A 21,730-nucleotide genomic window follows, 5' to 3' on the forward strand; every position below is an offset into this window, starting at 1 on the left:
ACTAGTCATTTTCTCAACATTGAAAGAATTATATCAATCGTCATCTTTGATTCAGGGAAAGATCTAGGTAGTTGTCTTTCTTTTTTAAAAAAGGAAGAGAGCAAGAAAACTAGCATGGGTTCTGTGATGGTTAATATTGAGTGTTAAATTGATTGGATTTAAAGATGCAAAGTATTGTTCCTGGGTGTGTCTGTGAGGGTGTTGCCAAAGGAGACTAACATTTGAGTTAGTGGACTGGGAAAGGTAGACCCACCCTCAATCTGTGTGGGCACAATCTAATCAGCTGCCAGTGCGGCCAGAATAAAAGCAAGCAAAAGAACATGGAAAGACTAGACTGGTTTAGTTTCCCATCTTTCTCCCGTGCTGGGTGCTTCCTGCCCTTGAACATTGGACTCCAAGTTCTTCAGCTTTGGGGCTTGGACTGGCTTCCTTTCTCCTCAGCTTGCAGACGGACTGCCGTGATACCTTACCTTGTGATCGTGTGAGTCAATAATCCTTAATAAACTCCCATTTACATATACATCTATCTTATTAGTTCTGACCCTCTAGAGAACCCTGACTAATACAGGTTCTTTCTCAGCTCAGTTTTAGAAAAGTGTAAATATGGCTTTGACTATATTGCCTGGGTGTCCTTTGAAAGTCTTTGTCTACTCCAGCCGATAAAATATCCAATGTCAAAACCAATAGTTCAGACTATAGGAGTAAGTTTAGGCTCCTTAACCTGGCATAGATTCTTTCTGGTTGTGGCAATTATCTACCTTCCCAGCTCTATCCTCCAGCACAGCCCACTCCAGATGCCAAGGGATGAGATCTCACTGACCTAGTTGCTAATTCCTAAACATGAAAAGCTATTTTCACTCTCTGTGCTCTTGAAAATATTGTTTCCCTCTTCAGTTAAAGAAACCACTTGTCCTTCTAGATTCTGGCAGTTCTACCTCCACAATAAAGCCCTCTCTGATTTTAGGAAGCAGAATTTCTCACATCTGTGTTGGTCATTCTGATCTAATGACACCATTCACATTGCATTGATATTGTTTGTTAACATTTTAATTAGACTTATAGAGATCTTGGAATGTCTATTTTTTAATACTTATTTGTATTTTTAATACTTATTTGTATTATCTAGATTGGAGGTATTCAATAAACATTGGATTAATACATATATTTGACTAAGGTAAACATTTTAAGAATATGCGTTAGCAATGTGATATATTCCAATTGCTATATAAATTGTATTTTATAAACTCTGACAATATTTCCCTTTGTAACTCAATTTCCTTTTTATTATTTTCCATAATTGCTCTGTATTATATGAATAAATTATGTTTAGTACATTCATGGACTATATATTTAAATACTATATATCATAGTATTTTACCTTGCCTGTCATACTCTTTCCTTGGTTCATTTGGGGTGTTATTGCTTATTTGAGTTTATAAAATACAGTAAAATTCAAATTCATAAATGGACATTGTTTCAAGAGTTCATTATTAAATCAGTTGTTTTGATTTTAGAATTTATAGTCCCAAAGAGATAAGGCTGTAAATGGTGATTAAATTGCAAGGTGGCCAAGCAGAGCCTATTTAACCTATCCTAACATGAAATATGGTATAATGGTATGATTTCAAATGTATTTAAAATAAAATAACACTAGAAGGAAGGACTATTAATTTTCCCTAATAAACTGCATTTTGATTTCTAACTGAATAATGTTAGAAATGCATTTTTAGGGCTTTTGAAACTCACTTGAGATGAAGAAAAGCTAAAGAAAAGAGGGAGGGAAATGTGTTTTACTTCTTGCTACTGAAAGCATGGCCCATGGAGCGGCAGCATCACCGTCTCCTGGGAGCTCATTCGGCACACTTTCACACTCAGCCCAGCCTACTGAGTCAGAATCTGCAGTTTAACTGGATACCTAGGTGACTCATGTTTACACTAAACTTTGAGATGCACTATGCACTGGAGATCAACGGTGGCTTTTTATCCTTTTTTTTTTTTTTTTTTTTTTTGAGACGGAGTGTCGCTCTGGCGCCCAGGCTGGAGTGCAGTGGCGTGATCTCGGCTCACTGCAAGCTCCGCCTCCCGGGTTCACGCCGTTCTCCTGCCTCAGCCTCCTGAGTAGCTGGGACTACAGGCGCCCGCCGCCAAGCCCGGCTAATTTCTTGTATTTTTAGTAGAGACGGGGTTTCACGGTGTTAGCCAGGATGGTCTCGAACTCCTGACCTCGTGATCCGCCCGCCTCGGCCTCCCTAAGTGCTGGGATTACAGACGTGAGCCACCGCGCCCGGCCTTTTTATCTTTTTATATATGCATTCGAAGAGGGATATCTCTGCTGTTAAACGTCTGCATAAACGGAAGCACTTCTTGAGAGCACCAATTTCTGGGAATTATTAATTTGAGAAAAAGAAATATCTCTCCCACAGGGATCTATGAAAGAATCCAGGACTTGTTCTATGCTGCTCTCTATTGAATTATATTGCTATTTTGTAAGAAGGAAAAGTAAGTGCTTGGGATAATCTAAAATTCATTAGATTAAACATGATTACAAATTAGCGACTTCAGTTTAAAAGGTAACATCAATGGTGATACACATTAAATGTGTTTGTAATTTTTAAAATCACTTGACAAGATACTTTAGATTTAGAGAATTTCTTGAAATAATTTAAAATAGTTAACAATGCTTGTTCATCAACAATGTAGGATAAATACTTGGCAAGACATGATAAAGTTTTATACAGGCTTTACTAATAACACACCGTATGTATACATGAATATATGCACACTGATTAGTTCAGAATAGAATATTAAGGCATATAAAAATAAATAAGGCACCGCAAAATAAATATCCCCAAATGGCTAAATAAAAAAAATAAAAACCACAATGAAAACTTCAAATGTATTAATATGATGGACATCTAAAATTCAAAAATTATATTGGGTTGTTTTTGACACTTTAAAAATAATATAAATGAAAATGTATTAAATATATAGAAATAAGTTATATTCATTGTACGCCAACTAAGATAATGCCTGGATGAAAAATATCCTTATATATCTACTTTCATTGTTTTCTGGATGTCACATTTGAAGTTCAGTTTCAGAACTACTAATAGAACAAAACAGCGTTGGTAAATGGTATCTGTAAATTTAGTTGTTTAATCCAAACTTCTTCTCTAGTGCCTAATTATTATTAGCATCAGCTGGCATTATTGATAATGCAGTTTTGGAGAATGTCTCCTCTGAGCTGTACTAATGTTAACTATGTACACTAACTGCTAGTAAATATAGTCAATGTGTAGTATAGTGTTTACCCATAGTTTCCACTGAATACATTTCCATGTGCTATCTTTAAAATAAATATATTATGTATTGCCACAAATGTCTTTTGAGAGCATGAACATGTTTTTATAATGGAAGAAATTATAATAAATATAATAAATACTAAGATATCATTGTCTTCTCTCTTTCTAGACCTAATTTATTGAATTTCTATTAAAAAATGTAAAATATCTATTCGATGCAACTAAACAAGCTAATATTAAGTCTCTTCTTACTTCTGGGAGATACCATGATGTAGTAGAAACAATGTTGTATTAGGGAAAAGGAAACAACCTCAAATTTTCCTGTGTACTTTCTAGCTTCGTGGCTCTGAAACAGTCACTTGTCTCCTGGCCTGAAAGCCAATTCCAAACTAAGATAATGTCCTAAAGGTCCTTCTAGTCTTAAATCTATAATTAGAGAGCAGTGTTTTAAAATTTCTATACACACACACACACACACACACACACACACACACACTATATATATATATATATATATATGTATGTTGATGTTTATTTTTTCCTAATACAGACCAAATTTTATTCAGTACCTATACCTCAAAAAATAGTTTGTAAAGAAGTCTATTTTCCCATATATAGACATAAATTTGAGTTGCATGCCAAATGTAGTACTAAACTGTAAGTCAGTGACTTTATAACATATGGCAATTCATTTAAAGTTGATTCATGTAGTATTACTAGGCAAAGCATAATATGAAAGAATCTTTAAAGTAATTGCAAAATAATTGCTTAAAACATTGCTCTTTGATTTTTTTAAACAGATGCCGTATGATTTGTTTGTGGATGGGAGGTTATGAGTAGAGTGTAGTGACGTTGATGTCTTCTGTGGAACTTGCTATTTGTTAGTTGTTGACTACATGTACTAGTTGTTAGTACATTAAATATGTACTAGCAATTAGCGTATATAATCAACAATATTTTCACAGATACTTTGTGCTTTCGCTAGCACCGTTTTTGAGGTTAGTTCACATTTAGTTTATTTTTGTATTGTCTTCACCTTTCTTAAAGTAGAAGCCTGTTGAAATCACATGGGCAGATCTTAATTTGCAGGTTTTTTTCACTTGTTACCAAAGAAACCTTCCTTATAATCGTACTTTTGTATTCATCCCCTTTTTCTTCTATGTCATTTTCTCTTCTGTATGTCTCGTATATGTATTTGTGTTGAGATCTCTGTGGTGCTAGAGGCTTTATGTTTCGTATCATGTAATCTGGTGGAAAGGGACTATCCTCCCATTGTAGCATGTGAGTGGTATAGATTATAAAACTTACTGAAATATGGTTACATGCGTGGGACTGTGAGGATGAATTCCCTGGGGCTTAGGGGTAAAGGTTAAGAATGAGTTTATTCATGGTTTAAAGTATCATTTTCGTATGCTTGAGAAATTAAAACTATTGTTAGTGCTTTAAGCATTCAAATAATAAAACATTTATTGCCTTCACATAGACATTTTTCTGAGTTTTTATTTCATTAGAAGAGATTCTTTGAAGGGAAATTACTAGGACAATGGATTTGAACAATTTAATCCTCTTGGTATATATCGCCCAAGTGCATCACTGAAAATTACCAGTCTTGTCATATTTTGACGTTTGAAAGCTCTCCTATTTATTATTTTAATTTGTTTCTGAAGTTGAGAAATTTTAAGAGTATTAAACATTTGTATTTTGTATTCTAAAGATTTACCATTTTTTCTGTAACTGAGAGCACTCAGAGATCAGCTGCCACTCTTACCCTTCCTTCACATCTTTTTCCTATAATGAGGCTCTTTCTTGTACCTTAGAATTTTATTTACTTTTTAAAAGCAGCATATTATGTAAAATGTTCTGTAAAAAAATCTGTGCTTTGTCCTCATTTTTCTGCTTTTTATGTCTCTTACATATCCTTTTAATGTCTCAATTCTCTAAGTTATCATTTTATACTCACCCCTCTGTAGTTTTTAAAAATTTTGCTGATAGTTATTCTCGAATTCAAAATCTTTCAGAATCTCCTTCCTGTGATTAGGTAGAAACTCCTCTGCTTTATAATAAAAGCCTTCAACAAAGAGTATTTGTCTTCCATTTTTCCAGTTTACTTCCATTCATTTAGGCTACATTCTAGCCAGCTTGAATTATCTGTATCCATCTTCCTCTGAATTTCTCAAACGTATTCTCACATTTGAATCTTTGTTAATTTTGGTTCCACTTTCTTGACAGCTTTGTCCTGTTATCTCTAACTGAAACTCTACAAGGCACATTTAGAATTTTACAACTCTTCATGAGAGCTAATTTAATCCTCAGTGACAGTTTATTGGAATCATCATTTATGGATTTACCATGCTATGTTGAATAGAAGTTGTCTTAAGTTACCCTATAGTAATGATGTCAGCACATCAAGGGTTGGTTCTGCCTGCTCTTTCTCATGGCACTGTGGGTCTTTATACATAATAAAGTATACATACACAGTTATTTAATTGAATTAAACCTAAGTGGTAGTTGGTTAAATCCAGATTTATTAAAAAGCTTAAATTAAGTCCTACAGGAAAGGTCTCAAAAGTTATCATGGATTTTCATATTTGATTTATACACTGAGCCAGAAGCTTTGGAATTATTACTACTCTGGCTTAGAGAACATATTTATAAATATTCTTTTGGGGAAATAACCTTTCCTGTCTTTAAAATAAGGTAGGCCCACTGCAAATAATTCCATAAGTAACCTTTCCTATGCCACCCATGGGCATTGGGCAGTAGAGCCTCAAAATCCAGTTAATATTTAAAGAGGACAGTCTGAATATAGGGAATCATGAAACTATCTCTCTATGCTTGGAGAGATTTTTAATTTGACAATGTAAATAGGAAGTAATATTTAGAGAGATACTTTAACAAAGAGATAACAGAAAATCTACAAGTTCCATCTTAATGAGAAATTGGTATTTCTAAAGACGTGAGAAGACATCTGCTTCTGATCAAGATGAACTAACAGGGGCTGCATTTACCGGGTCACCAAAAATAACAAACAAAATATAAAATGGGTGGGCACAGTGATTCACACCTGTAATCCCAGCACTCTGGAAGGCCGAGGTGGGATGATTGCCTGAGCCCAGGAGTTCCAGACCAGCCTGGGCAACATAGTGAGACCCTCGTTTCTATAAAAAAAAATTAGCTGGGTGTGGTGGCTTGTACCTGTAGTCCCAGCTACTAGGCAGGCTGAGGCAGGAGGATGGTCTGAGCCCAGGAGGTGGAGGCTTCAGTGAGCCGTCATTGTGCCACTGTACTATCATACACACACACAAGGACAGTGATCCTAGAGTAACAGCAGCAATCAAGATGAATCATAATTACCCAAGCTTATGGCCTGGAGGGAGTTTTCAAGCTGTAGTAAAGCAAGGGGCAACCCCGGCAAAGCCTGGCAGACACCAGTTGAGGAGATGGAGCAGACAGTGTGGGGAGGCCAAGGTGGATAAAGTTTGGAAGACAGAGTACCAGAGAGGGGAATACTGAGCAGATAATTCCAGAGCTGTTCTAGGCCCCACTCAAAACTGATACTTCTTTTTGTCATCTAACATATGGTCCCAAAACTATTCTTAGGTATGGAATGAATGTGTTCCCTCCAAAACCCAAAGAACCAGACACTATGAATCCTTCTTTGTACTAAAGTATGCAAAATGCACCAATCTGTCCCTTACTTTGGAGAACCAATGTCTCAGTGCCCATGACCACTGGACCCCTTTAAAGAAGAGGCAGTTCCCTGAATCTTCAAAACTTTCATTTTCCAGTCTCTGTAGCATGTGTGTTTCATCACATCTTCCAGGGTTCTAGCCAACAGTTGCTCACCATACCCAATCATTTTATGTTGAAATAATCAGTGTGATATTACATGGGATGTTCAGATGGCCCAGCTCTCTTGAGATTAGATTATGATGAAATGTAGGAGAGTTAGCCTAGTCCTGAACCAAAACAGTATGTGTGTATTGTTATCTGTTGCATGTGAATTTGGTTCCTGGTCCTCTTTTCTGACTGGATAGGAAAGAACAAAATTTGCAAAATCAATGCCTACATTTCAAATACCTGAATCAAAATTAATCCGTTCTAGTGGAACTTCACACCTGGCAAGACAGCTATGATAAGGATGCTATTTGAACTCGAGATAGCCTACAGACATTCTCGAGGATCCGTCTAGCTATTGTGGGGGCTGTATTGGTGAATTAAATGGTATATTGTATGAACCACCACTTATACATTTGATAAACTTTTAAAAGTGGCACTAGTCTCCATAATTCATCCCAGAATATAATACTGATTTTGATTTCTTATCTTTGCAGAGAGTTGGAGCCTTTATCATAGGCTTCCACTTGGCTGTCCCCACTATCTTTTTCCCCAATAACTGGTTATTCAGGTACATGAGACCCAATATGCAGAGGTGAAAGCTTTTAGCAGACCTATCAAGCTTCTCTATACATGGTCTCTTTTCTTAAATTTATTTTTTTAATTACCATATTGCAGTTGTACATACTTATGGGGAATAGTTTGATACATATATATATATATTCAAAAACATACACATAATGTCCCCACTGTAATTGCTCTTACTTCGTAGATCAAGTACCTAGTGCTGGGGTTTCTTTAATTGACAAGTATGTCAATCTCAACTATACATTTAGGGGCTAAGGGTATTGCCATTGGGTGAGTGTACAGACCTGGTTAATATAAGGTAAGCCAGACTTAGCTTAGGACTCCATTTGTTACCTTTTTCTCACATGCTCCCACTCTAATGTGGAGGTTACGATGACACTTCATGTCTTCAGGTATCAACATCATGAACCCTGCGTTTTCAAAACATCTGGGCAGTTCCAGGTGCACAGTTCCTTGGGTAAACAGCCACAGGTCTGTTTGAGGGAGATAGAGGATCATTACACTGTGTATTTGTCATCACGTGGCAGGATCTTCCTCTGGAGATGTGTTCATGTCTTTAGTGAATCTATTGACCTTTTAGTCAATAGGTTCTGGTCCTGAAACCTGACTCAGACAAAGAAACTGGCAAGTGATTATGACATTTTATTGAGGTGACCACTTTTAGCCTTTTGCTCATTCATTCTTGCTCACTTGTTTTTATGTTACTCATTGTAGCAAAATATAAATAACATAAAATTTACTATTTTAATCATTTTTAAGTGTACAATTCTCTGGCATTAAGTACATTCACACTGTTTTTGCAACCAACATCATATCCATCTCCAGAACTTTTTTGTCATCTCATACTGAAACTCTGTACCCATGAAACAATAACTCCTCATTCCCTTTCCTCCTTATAGCCACTGGTAATCACTATTCTACTTTCTGTCTTGCTCACTTTTGATATTATGTTAAGCAGCACCTTGATGACTGCCTGCCTATTTTGTCCTTGGAGGTGCCATATTCTATTTACCGTCTTCATAATGCTCTATGGCCCTCTGATTTTGTTGCTTGTTAAAATAATTATAAAACCCTGACTTCTGCTAGTTCAGCCACACCACCTTGCTTTTGTTGCTTCCTACCTTTGCTATCAGCAAGTGAGTTTCTGTGATAGCCTCTACCATCAGCCTTGGCCTATACAACAGAGCCATCCCTGACCATTTTAGTGATGCTAATGATGCTCAGGCCTGCACATTTGTTATAATCCTGGTAAACAGTATGTCTTCTAGGCCTTCTCAAGAAAGATTTTGTTTTTTGGAGAATCTTGTGGCCTCACATAACATTTTCATGCTGCTGATAAAGCCATACCCGAGACTGGGTTATTTACAAAAGAAAGATATTTTTGGACTTACAGTTCCACATGGCTGGGAAGGCCTCACAATCATGGCAGAAGGCAAGGAGGAGCAAGTCATGTCTTATGTGCGTGGGATGGCAGCAGGCAAAAAGAGAGCTTGTGCAGGGGAACTCCCATTTTTAAAACCATCAGATCTCGTGAGACCCATTCACTGTCACGAGAACAGCATGGGAAAGACCTGCTCCCATAATTCAATCATCTCCCACCGGGTCCTTTCCACAACACGTGGGAATTATGGGAGCTACAAGATGAGATTTGGGTGGGGACACAGAGCCAAACCATATCAATAACTACTCAAGGGGTCCTAAATCCCTGAGCTGTTTAATCCCTTCATTTAGCATCCACCACAGCAACTCAGGCACTTCAATCTCACTCACCCGGGGTCATGACTTTTTCCAGGCTTCTAATAGACATCCAAGCAACAAATTTGTATTAATATCATCTCCTTTTTTGTGTGAGGATGTTCAATCCTATATTTAGTGAGGGTGTCTCCAAGTCAATAAATTCCTCCTTATTCAGTTTACAGTCACACCTCTTTGAGTACATTCAGGATCCAGTTTCACAAGCACTTCCTGGGCTCCTCTGTATTTGTCTGCTGCATGCCTTATCTCCTTTGTGGGTATAGTTTATGTCCTCCTTCATTAGCCCCCCACACTTCTTAGATGCATTAACCTTGGCTATGGGTCTGATGGCCAGGTGAGGAGACTGGGGAAGCTCCTGAGAAAATATGTTGTTTTGTGTGGAAGGATGGGAGAAATTTCTGTATAGTCTTTACACATAGGATGAGTGCTAGTTCTTAGTGGAGAAGAGTGAGACCATTCTGTACGTTGAGAGGATTCAAAGGATGGTGGGGAGTCAGTATCAACTGGGTTCCCCTTGTCCCTCTACCACGCGACAGTATCCCAGTATTACTTGACTATGGACCTGACTTTGGCATGAGAGCCCTGCCTTGAACATTTAACTGCCTTTGAAGTTTAGCATCTCTGACTACTAAATACTGGTCTTGAGCTTCATTTTTTTCTGCTTGCCCATTTTATGAGAAGTGAGCTTCTTGTTAGCTATCAAACAAACTCTCTTGCTCTCACACTTAGCTTGTAATTATTTGTTAATTTCTCTCAGCCTTTTATATCCATCTTTAGGGAAGCAATGAACTTAGTAAAAATAATTTAATTCCATTATGGTTCTATTTACCAATTCCCCTTTACAGTTCAAATGCCTGAATCCTCACTGTATTCAGGGAACAGCCCTCCCCCACCATAGTCTCCCAGGTGGCCACTGGTGAACGTTTTAACAATTGGTTGTCCATGCTCCACTTGCCACTCAGGATGAAGTCTACATTGCTAGCTGAGGAGTGAGTAACAGTCCCATATCCCATCTTAATGCCTGTCTTCTCGGGCCATTCCTGGTAAAATTGTGCCCCCTAAGTTATCTGGAAATCAGATACTGCAACAAAGTTGGTAATGCAAAAAGTATCCCGGAGAGTAAACTCATGAAAGAAAAAGGAAGTAAGAAAGAGGCAAGCAAAGTAGTACCCAACACTAAGAATGTCTCTGCCAGCCTGGTAGGGATCTCTGGAGGAAAGATTTATGTTAGAGAAAAGCTGAGTTGGTTACAGTCCATTTTACTTAGCTTTAATCAGTCTTTGGCTGGGAGCCAATGTAAGTGATTAAACTTGGCTCAGGAGCTAAGTCAGACCTTGAAGGAACTAACAGCTGAGGTTATCAGCTAACCACACTCTCCACAGCTGAGCAGTGAGTCTCTTCTAAAAAGAGGATCTGTAGGCAACATCATCATTTCTGCCAAAGCTCTTATAAAGTATTACTCTTTATGTTGATTTTTGAATCTGTTTCTGCTTGTGACAGTAAATCTAGAACTGGAAGCTTCAAATGTTGCCCTTGCTGAAAGTGCTCTTCACCTCTTCTAGGTAAAAATAGACACATATGGCAGTTACCTGGCAATGCTACACTGCAAGAGAAAGGGCCTTAAAAGAAAATACATTCCCATTTGTACTGATTAAGTCATTATCTTACTGATTTTAGTTCTATGTGTTCTCCTCTAGCCTCTTATTTGCCTTTCCATGCATTTAATCCTTGATTTCAGGGAGAACGCAGAGTTTCAAATAAAAGGATTGAATGATGTTAACACATCTTACATAGGAGATATTAATTAAGCATTTTAAGTATTTTTAAATAAAAACACAATAGACATTTCAAATGAGAAATACATTACTTATTTGAGGAAGTCTCCATGGAGAAATCCTCATAATTAGACACCTAGAATATGTTTTTCTGTCCAGATCACTGTAGTTCAGGCAAGGTGGTAATTTAGGACTGGACTGTTAAATTTCACTTTTTAATTTACCCTTTATGAAAAAATAGATTTACCCCCTTTGGCTCAGTGTACTTATTCAAATCTCATCTCAAATTGTAATCCTCACGTGTCAGGAGAGGGGCTTGGTGGGAGGCAATTGAATTATGGGGTGGACTTTTCCTTTGCTGTTCTCATGATAGTGAGTGAGTTCTCACAAGATCTGGTTGTTTGAAAGTGTGTATACTTCCTCCTATGCTCTCTCTCTCTCTCCTGCAATGCCATGGTAAGATATGCTTGCTTCCTCTGTGCCTTCCTCCATGACCGTAAGTTTCCTGAGGCCTTCCAGCCATGCTTACTGTACAGCATGCTTACTGTACAGAAGTGTGAGTCAATTAAGCCGTTTTTCTTCATAAATTACCCAGTCTTAGATAGTTCGTTATAGCAGTATGCGAACAGACTAATACAAATATTGCAGAAAATCTAACTCTTAAAGGCTTCTAGAAGCACAGCATTTAATTATATCACTTCCATTTACTTCAACATTTATTATCCTTGTTAATTAAAGCATTTTCCCTAAGACTTCTGTTTGCCAACCATGTGTTCCTCTGGCTGAAAGTGCCCTATATTCTTGAAGATAAAAATATTTAATAAAAATATTGTATAGAACAGTCATGTTACTACCAATTTGCTCCCCCCACCAGGTGTGCAACATATACTTGAAAATATTTTCACTTAAAAGTTATGTAAATAATATATTTTACCAATCCACATTGGTCTTTTTCAATGCACTATGACTTTATTTGTGTGTTTGAAACTCTCAAGGTTGACCTAGCATAAACAAAAAGACAACTTTATTATGGAAGTGATGGTGGAAAAAATTGCTATTTAAAATAACCATTGTCTAAAAGATGAGCACTGTTAAATTAATTTCTTTTCTACAGAGTTCTTTGATGGATTTGAAAATGCAAATCTGGGCTTCGAGCTGAATTTCAAAGCACTGTTCTGAGGATAATTTATAGTTCTTTTGGAAAGAAGATGAAAGAGGGAGATGGGATAGAGGAAGATAAGGAGTCAGCAGTATGGGGGAAGGTGCAATTCTAAGTGGGGGCCACAGGGTCAGTGAAAAAATCCTGGAATGGGGTTACCAGAAGTTTAATGATAAAAATTATGTAGTTTCTATTTCTTTATTGTAAATCCTATTGTGACTCCTTTAAATCTTCAGTAGAATCTATTATACACACAAATAACTAGTTTTGGAGTCAGAGTATTTTCTTATAGTTGTGAAGTTTACTTAATTGTTTGAAATAATTATGGAAAGAGATTGAAGCTGAATTCCATGATTGGACTGATACAAATCAGAGAAGGACATCATTAGTTAGAAATATTGGCCGGGTGCGGTGGCTTACGCCTGTAATCCCAGCAATTTGGGAGGCCAAGGCGGGCAGATCACGAGGTCAGGAGATCAAGACCAACCTGGCCAACATGGTGAAACCCCATCTCTACTAAAATACAAGAAAATAGCCTGGTGTGGTGACGCATGCCTGTAGTCCCAGCTACCCAGAGGCTGAGGCAGGGGAATTGCTTGAACCTGGGAGGAGGAGGTTGCAGTGAGCCAAGATTGCGCCACTGCACTCCAGCCTGGTGACAGAATGAGACTTCATCTCAAAAAAAAAAAAAAAAAAAAAAAAAAAAAAAAAAAATATATATATATATATATATATATATAAAAAATAAAAATAAAATAGAATTATCAACAGAATTAAGGCACCAGAGATGAATGTGAAAATAAGTTGAAGCCACTCTGATGGCCTGCCCTCCATGTGTTGAACCTTGAGTGATTAACGGAAATCTTGGGAGGTTTTTTGAATTGTTCACAAATAGTGGAATTAGGGTTTAAGTCCATTAGCTAGATATCTTTAAAAATTTCTAGCCATTAGGTCTTAAGTGGTGGATGATCCCGTTAAAATGTCAGTTGCACAATACTGAAATCCAAGGCCTCAGTAATAGTGGAACGAGAAACTCCAAATTCTAGAAGAGTTTCCTCAATGGCTCACTCCTCTCAGTTTCTGTGGGTACATTAGTTTTTACTCATCTTATTGAAGACGTGCTTTCTTCACAATTTAGAAAACGCAGCTTCTAACAGCTACCTGAAAGTAATGATTAAACTTGCTGAATTCCTAATCACAAAATACTAGGTAAAGGCAGGCTTATGCTTGACCCAGATCACTTCAAATGACCTCCTCTCCACCAGCCAACTGTGCCATTGTATGCTTTGCATTATAGATTAGTGTAAGGATTTTTATTTTAATTAATTAATTAATTTTTGAGAAGGTCTTACTCTATCATCAAGGCTAGAGTGCAGTGGTGTGATCATGGCTCATTGCAGCCTTGACCCCCTGGGCCCAAGTGATCCTCCCACCTCAGCATTTGTGAGTAGCTGGGATTATAGGTGTGTGCCACCACACCCAGCTAATTTTATTATTATTTTTTAGAGATGAGGTCCCACTATGTTGTCCAGGCTGATCCTGAACTCCTGGGCTCAAGCAGTTTTCCTGCTTCAGTATCCCAAAGTGCTGGGATTTGCAGCTGTGAGCCACCATGCCTGATGAAGGATTTTATTTTTAAAGCATCAGCATTTTTAGATATATTATTTCTCCTTTCTTACGGTCATTCATTTATTCTTTTGATATATGGAGTTGGGGACACTGCATGCCCCCAAAGGCAATAGGTGTTTTAATCTACTGGCTATAGAATATTATAAACTGCCTTTTTCAATCACAAATCATGTCAACTTTGAAAAATAACACCTACTAAAATAATTTGGGGACATGGCAGCAAATAATTAATAAAACAATTGAGACGGGAAGAATGCACTTATTGTAGTCAGGATTAGTTGATTGATGACAGAGCAAATTTTTTTTTCATGAAAAATTAATGTAGACTCCCAAAAGACCATCTGGAAAGTGTTCTCTGGATGTTTACCTGTGTATTTTGAGTTTAATAACAATTCTCAATATCTTTTAATTAATCCCATCTGTCAAATGATGTTGAAGATAGGCAAATAAATGGAATCTCTTCAAGGACAGTTTGGCTTTAGTGACTAACTAAGGATTTCATTTACTTAGAAAAAGAGGCTTGCAAATGTGGTATATAATAATTTTCAATAGTTCTTTCTTAAATCCAACAGAATATAGACTACTTAGGATATGTTTGAATATATGTATAATTGTGAGAATGCGTATGTATGTAAATATCCTTTATAGGTGTTATTTCCGACCTTCATCACCAATGTTGTGTTCATAGGCCATGTAAACAAAACAGTATCTGCTTGTTCTTCTTTCTTAGCTATGTTTCTATTGGAGAGGGATGAATAAGGACAATAACTCTTTTTTCTTTGCATTATTCTTATAATTATTTCATTATTTTTGCAGTGTTGTTACCATATGTTGAAGTAAGTAATTAATTCTAAAATCTTAGTGGCTTAACTTAACAAGTTCTTTTTTTTGGCCCATGAAACATATACAGTGCAAATTAGTAGCTGGAATTTTGTGGGGATTTGGATCCTCAGTCAGGGACCCTCGCTGACAGAGGCTCCATCACCTTCTATGTGAACTGTCTGGAAGATGTGGCCTTTCCCATTCATGCAATAGGTGAAGAGACACAAGACAGTCTTGCACTGGTAATTAAGTACTTTGCTCTGGAAGTATTTAATAACCAGTCTTCTGGAGAAGACATGTGTGATTTCATTGGCCAGAACTAGTCACATGACCTCACCTAAATGCAAAAAGATTTGGAAGTATAAGAGAGCAAATGAAATAATCAGTGGGCTGACTCATTGCCATACTATATTCCAGAATTATATATTTGTTGAGCAAGAGAAAATTTTAAACAATTTATTATTACACTTTAAGTTCTGGGGTGCATGTGCACAACGTGCAAGTTTGTTACATAGGTATACATGTGCCGTGTTGGTTTGCTGCACTCATCAACTCCTATTTTTCCTAATGCTATCCCTACCCCAGCCCCCCACCCCCTGACAGGCCCCAGCGTGTGATGTTCCCCTCCCTGTGTCCATGTGTTCTCGTTGTTCAACTCCCACTTATGAATGAGAACATGTGGTGTTTGGCTTTTTTCTTCTTGTGTTACTTGAGCAAGAGAAATTTTAATGAAACCAAGTGAAACATTAAATAAACTCTGCCCTTTTCTTTTTACTCCAAGGACACAGCACGTGTAATATGTAAGATGATATCATATTTAGACTCTTAATTCAATGTCTGCCTGATTTTTATTCTGCACATACTGCTCTTCTTCCCTTTAACAGTCTTCAGCTTGTAAGTTATATGTGGATTACTCAATGTGCCAAAGACAATTGATTCAATGTGCTGAGAGCTCTAAGGTAACTCTTCCTAGAGAAAAATAAATATATTAAAACCCACATGAAACAAAACACAAGTCATTGTTTTTGTAATGTAAAGTTAACTTCTGATTGAGAACTTATTGTGTAGGGTAAAAAACAAACCACAGTTTCTGTACCTTTTTGACTCCTCCAGCACTTTACTGTAAACTACCTCTCTTTAGTCAACTTTGCCCCAAGTGACCCATATTAGAGCTGAGACGGATTAAAAACCAAATGAGATGTTGGTGAACTACAACAGTAATCAGAGATAACAAGTAGCATTAACATTGTGGAAAACATCCAGTATTCTTTTGAAAATTGATTAATTAACATAATACCTAAGTTTATTCTTTTCATTTAGTAACAATTTAAGGAGTGCTCTGAAAAGGATATGCCAATTTTAGCAGGTACAAAATGTCTAGCTATGTAATAAAATATCACAAACGGGTCCTGAATTAGATTCAGTAGCAATTGAGATTGCATGCAGGGACAGACATATTCTTTGGTGGGGACTCCTGCAGAGAGTCTCATTTATGATAGATCAGAATTATTTTTGCTTCATTCACATACAAATGCATACTTATATGACAGTCTAGGAAAGGACTTTGTGGAACAAGGTCTGGATGCATTTCTCCTGGTGCCTGTTTTTTACAAGTTTATTTTAAACATCTAACTCACTGTTGTGGGCTCTTAGAGATGAACCATCTGTCACAAACCAGAATCAACATTTATTGTAACTTATTAAGAAAGGAAAAGTTGCTGGCAAAAAACCATTTAAAGTGTAAAGTTGGATATTGAAGACTTTATTTCCCACAGAGCCTTTTAAAAATCAGATTAGATGTTCATCTGAGAAAATGGTTCTGACTTTTGCGAATAGGTAATGATCTCATATGGCAGAATCACTGACAAGGTGAGGAATGCATGGGGAAGGAAGGAAGACAGAGGAGCACAGCACATTCTCTCTCTCTCTCTGTGTGTGTGTGTGTGAGAGAGAGAGAGAGAGAGAGACAGAGAGAGAGAGACAAAGAGAGAGAAAGATACAGAAAGGAAGGAAGGAAGGAAGGAAGGAAGGAAGGAAGGAAGGAAGGAAGGAAGGAAGGGGGCTGCATCTCCTGGGGGTTGTGCCAGTACAGGGAGGATGCAGTTTCTTCAGATGGCAGCAGAGTGTGGTATTGAAACCAATGAGATGGCAGAGGGCTCTATAGTCTGGAACCTAATTTCCCTGTGAAACATTCATACTTCAGTGAAATTACCAAATTAACTGATTCTTTTTTTTTTCTTTCTGAGACAGGGTTTTGCTCTGTCACTCAGGCTAGAGTGCTGTGGTACAAACATGTCTCATTGCAGCCTCGACCTCCTGGGCTCAAGCAATTCTTCAGCCTCAGCCCCCTGAGTAGATGGAACCACAGGTGCACCATCATGCCTGGCTATTTTTAAAATTTTTTGTAGAGATGGGGGGTCTCACCATGTTGCCCAGGCTTGTATTGAATTCCTGGGCTCAAGCAATCCTCCTTCCTCAGCCTCCCTAACTGTTGAGATTACAGGTGTGAGCCTGGGCCCAGGTGGATTCATATGACCAACTCTTTTAATGAAATCAGCAAAAGGGTTAACATGGTGCCTTTCAAGGAGATGAATCAAGATCTTAATTTAAACACAAGAGCAGAGACAAGGCAGATAGACAATCTTAAAACTTGCTAGAAGTTAGTATGGAGATTGGTAGAACTTGTTCAGAGAGTGCCAGATTTGCTCACGGTAATATATCTGTAGTCTTAAATTACATTTTCTTAAGTTTCCATATGGAAGGTAAGTCTCAAACTGATCTGGGTTACACAGACATTAAATATTGCATCACGCTTTATTGCTTAAGGTAAGCACCAGGTAAAGTGACTAATCATATAACATATTCTTAGGAATTAGGGGATTCCTACAGTTTTTGAGAATAGATGAGGGCCTTTAAATGGTGGCAGGAAAAAAACCAGGATTTTGGACCAGTCACTAAGATGCTAAAAAACACAATTTAATAAGGTGTCTTACATTTATTTTCAAATCCCCACATTTCCAAAATTCTCAAGTTATAGGTTTTTACTTTTAAATACATCCTCTTCTTTTAAATATTTTTCTTTCGATTCACTTTAATCATGAGTTAACTATACTCAACTGTCATCCTCAAATCCCACATCTACAAGGCATGTATTACCAATTACTCTATTGTTGTAGATGAATACATGTGACTAAAGTATTCTGAAATTTATATGCACCCACAATATATCACTTAAAAATTAATGCCAATTCACATAAAATCCAATCTCATTTTAGTTGTTAAGAAAATCTTGAAAACTTGGTACATTTAAAGAAAAACTTGAGGAAATTTAACGTCTGAGAGACTGTGTAGTCTTTTCTAATGTGTTATTTTAAATATTATCTTGACCTTTTAATTATTCTCTAGTATATCAGGCCTACTTAGAGCATCATAAGATTTACTTGTTGATTTTAGTCAGTGTTGATCAGATCAGTCGTTTACATTTAAGCCATGTCTGCTTTTGATAAACATGAAAACCTAATTTCTTTCATAATTTAGTTTTGAATACATTCTTCTCAGTGACATCTCTGATATTTTCCCACCCCAAGAATCTCTAAAAGGTAGAAACTAGTCTACCTTTGGTCTCTACTACCATAAAATAAAATGTCTTTGAGCTTTACTTCCTGTAGTTTACATTATATATTTTTAAAAGTTTCATTTTCCAAATACATAAACAGGTGGTTGGTGAGGAAGAATCTGAGAAGGATGAGCTATTGTGTCCCTGATCTCTTTTATGAAGCTCCAGTGTCAGTTATCATCCATTGCTTCTGGGGAAAAACAATGCATGTATGAGTTTTTTGTTCGTATGTTTTCTTCGAAATGATACAGCTTTACTGTGGGGAGACCAGAGGATATAATGACATATTCCCTCCCTTAATTAGATTACACTATGTGGCCAGAGTAATGGGATAGTAATTTCCCTGACTACATTGTATTATATAAGACTTGTTCTAAAGTTAGAAATTCCACATGAGAGAAACATTCTCTTGCTGCTGCAAAGAAGCAAACAGCTGTATCCTGAAAGGGGTCATGTGGCAAGAAGATGTGAGTGACCTCTAGGAGTGGACAGGAGCCCCTGGTGACATCCAGCAGGTGAAGTCTTCAATCCTACAATTCAAGGAACTAAATTCTGCCAACAACCAATGAGATAGGAAGAGGACCCCAAATCTCAGATGATGTTACAGCCCTGACCTGCCTGCATCTTGATTGTAGCTTAGTGGGATGCTGAGCAGAAGATTTTATTAAAATATACCAGACTCTTGACCCACAGAATCATGGCATTAATTTGAAATAATAAATGTGTGTTGCGAGTACTAATTTGTTATGCAGAAACAGAAAACTAAGATCAGTGAAAACATTTGTCCACACAAAACCTATATGTGAATGTTAATATTGCTTTGAATCAAAATAGCCAGAACTTAGAAGTAACCCAAATATCTATTGGCTGGTGAATAGACAAACAATATATGGTGCATCTTGATAGTGGAACGCTAGTAAGTAATATAAAGGAACACCCTTCCCACATATTCAAAAACATAAGTAAATCTCAAAGCCTAAATAAAGAAAAAGTAAAGTAGCTAAGTAAAAAAGGACAGCCATAAATGGCTTCATACTGTGTAAATGCACTTATATAACATTCTTATAAAAGTAATTCCATCGGGACAGAAAAAACATCAATACTTGAAAGAAGCTAAAGGTATGGTTGAGTTGATTGCCTACAAAATGGAAAGAGGAAACTTTTTAGGATGATGAAAACATACTTTATCTTGTTTGTGATGAGTTAGATGTCTATCTGTCATCCATCTATCTATTTTTAAACTCACTATATATATATATTTATACATATATAATAGTATGCACAGCAGAAAGAACAGTTAGCCAATCATAAATTTTGTTTTCTTCATTTCCATTGCTAATATTTATGTTGCAGAAAGAGATTCTGCCTTGATTGGCCGAAAGTCAATGGACTTTATTTGCAATTTCTACGTATATTTAATTCATCAAATATTGTGTTTCATGCTTAAATGTTTGGTTAATCACATGTATTCATTTAACAAACTTTGTAGATGTCAAGAACATTTTGATTATGAAATGTACACAAAAATAATTTTAATAAGCTTAAAAATTCCAGCTACACATTAACCAAAATTTTCCAATAATCCTATGGATATTTAACACATAGATTTTTAAAAATCCTCATATTAAGGATTTCTGGCATATCAATAAACACTTTAGAGTGAGTAGACAATTTATAATACTTTGTTGTAAATAACATAAAATGTGGTTACTAGAAGTCTCAATAGCTCCAGTAGTAAATAACAATCTCTTCTTTCAGATTTATAATATATTTAAAAGTTAATATTCTACAAGACTGAAATTCATTTATATTTTTTTAAAACAAAGACCCCTTAAAGAGATTTTAAGATATTTTACAGTTCTCAATCAGGATTTGTTTTCACTTGAATGAAATATTTGTGTGTTGTATACAGAGCTAAAATATATGCAGTTCTTTATCTTTTAAAATTGTCTTAATATGGATGACAAGTGTTAATGAAACTTTGGTGTCTTTGAGATTAGGTTTTAATAATATGGATTCAATTTATTTGCTTTCCAAATAAATTTTCTAGTTGTGGTATTTTCTCCTTAGCATGTAGTCTTTATATTAAATTTATTTCTAGATGACTAAATCTCATAGTGAACTGTATTTAATAACCAGTTCAGACAGAATCTATTAAAATGCAATATATATTTAAATATTTAGGTACTGAAGATAAAAATATGCACATTTTAGAGGTGGACACTAATACAAATTTGTATTTTTAATTGCAAAACAAACAGATTTTCATTTTTTTGGTTTCAGGAATGTAAAAGGAAAGTTCATCTTTTCACCTGTAAGACTTCTATGGGCTTGCCTGTAAATATACACCACTTGTCATTTGAATTGCTGAGAAAAGAAATTCATTCTACAAGCTTCAACAATGGGAGCTTTTCCCCTAATTAGTAGAATGATGTATCATGATCATTTCAGGTGTTGTATTTGTTAGGCTTTTAAATTTGTCAGCTAAATATTCTCTGTATCTAGTTTACACAGCTGAATTTTATAAATTATTTGTGCAAATGTTTAGGTTTTTAACAGAAAATTAAAAGGCATTTGGATGTATTTAATTCACTTTCCCAGAAAATATAACATTTTATTTACATCATACAGAGTAACAATAAATATCACTTATGTATATGTATATATGCATGCTCATTTATCCATTGATTGATCTGTCAAGCTATTGATCCATGAATCCATCCCTTTTGTCTTTTGTATGAAGTGTAAGAGAGGAAGTCTTCCAGGGTGATGTATAGAAAAGCATAATGAGAATCAGGGAATACAAGAGTATAGATAAACAACAAGATAATTTCCTTGCAGACTATATGATATGGTTTGGTTCTGTGTCCCCACCCAAATCTCATTTCAAATTGTAATCCCCACGTGTCGAGGGAGGGACCTGGTGGGAGGCAACTGGATCATGAGAGTGGTTCCCCCATGCTGTTCTTGTGCTAGTGAGGGAATTCTCACGAGATCTGATGGTTTTTAAAGTGGCTGTTTCCCCTGTGCTCTCTCTCTCTCCTGCTGCCTTGTGAAGAAGGTACCTGCTTACCCTTCACCTTCTGCTATGATTGTAAGTTTCCTGAGGACTTCCCAGCCATGTGGAACTGTGAGTCAGTTAAACCTCTTTTTTTAAATGAATTACCCAGTCTCAGGTAGTATCTTTATAGGAGTGTGAAAATGGACTAATACACTATATATTATCCTAAATAATCTCTGGATAATA

The 21,730-nt window shown here is 36.4% G+C and overlaps 1 long non-coding RNA gene across 1 annotated transcript in view; it reads left to right on the forward strand.

Moving 5' to 3' along the window:
- Positions 1-21,145, forward strand: part of LOC124901815 (uncharacterized) — a 60,048-nt gene extending 38,903 nt beyond the window's left edge. The window contains exon 2 of the long non-coding RNA XR_007060646.1: positions 20,767-21,145. This is a non-coding gene — a long non-coding RNA (uncharacterized LOC124901815). The remainder of the gene's footprint in view (positions 1-20,766) is intronic.
- The last annotated feature ends 585 nt before the right edge of the window (positions 21,146-21,730 follow it).

The sequence above is a fragment of the Homo sapiens genome, chromosome 7 (assembly GCF_000001405.40).
Source record: "Homo sapiens chromosome 7, GRCh38.p14 Primary Assembly".
Lineage (NCBI taxonomy): Eukaryota > Metazoa > Chordata > Mammalia > Primates > Hominidae > Homo > Homo sapiens.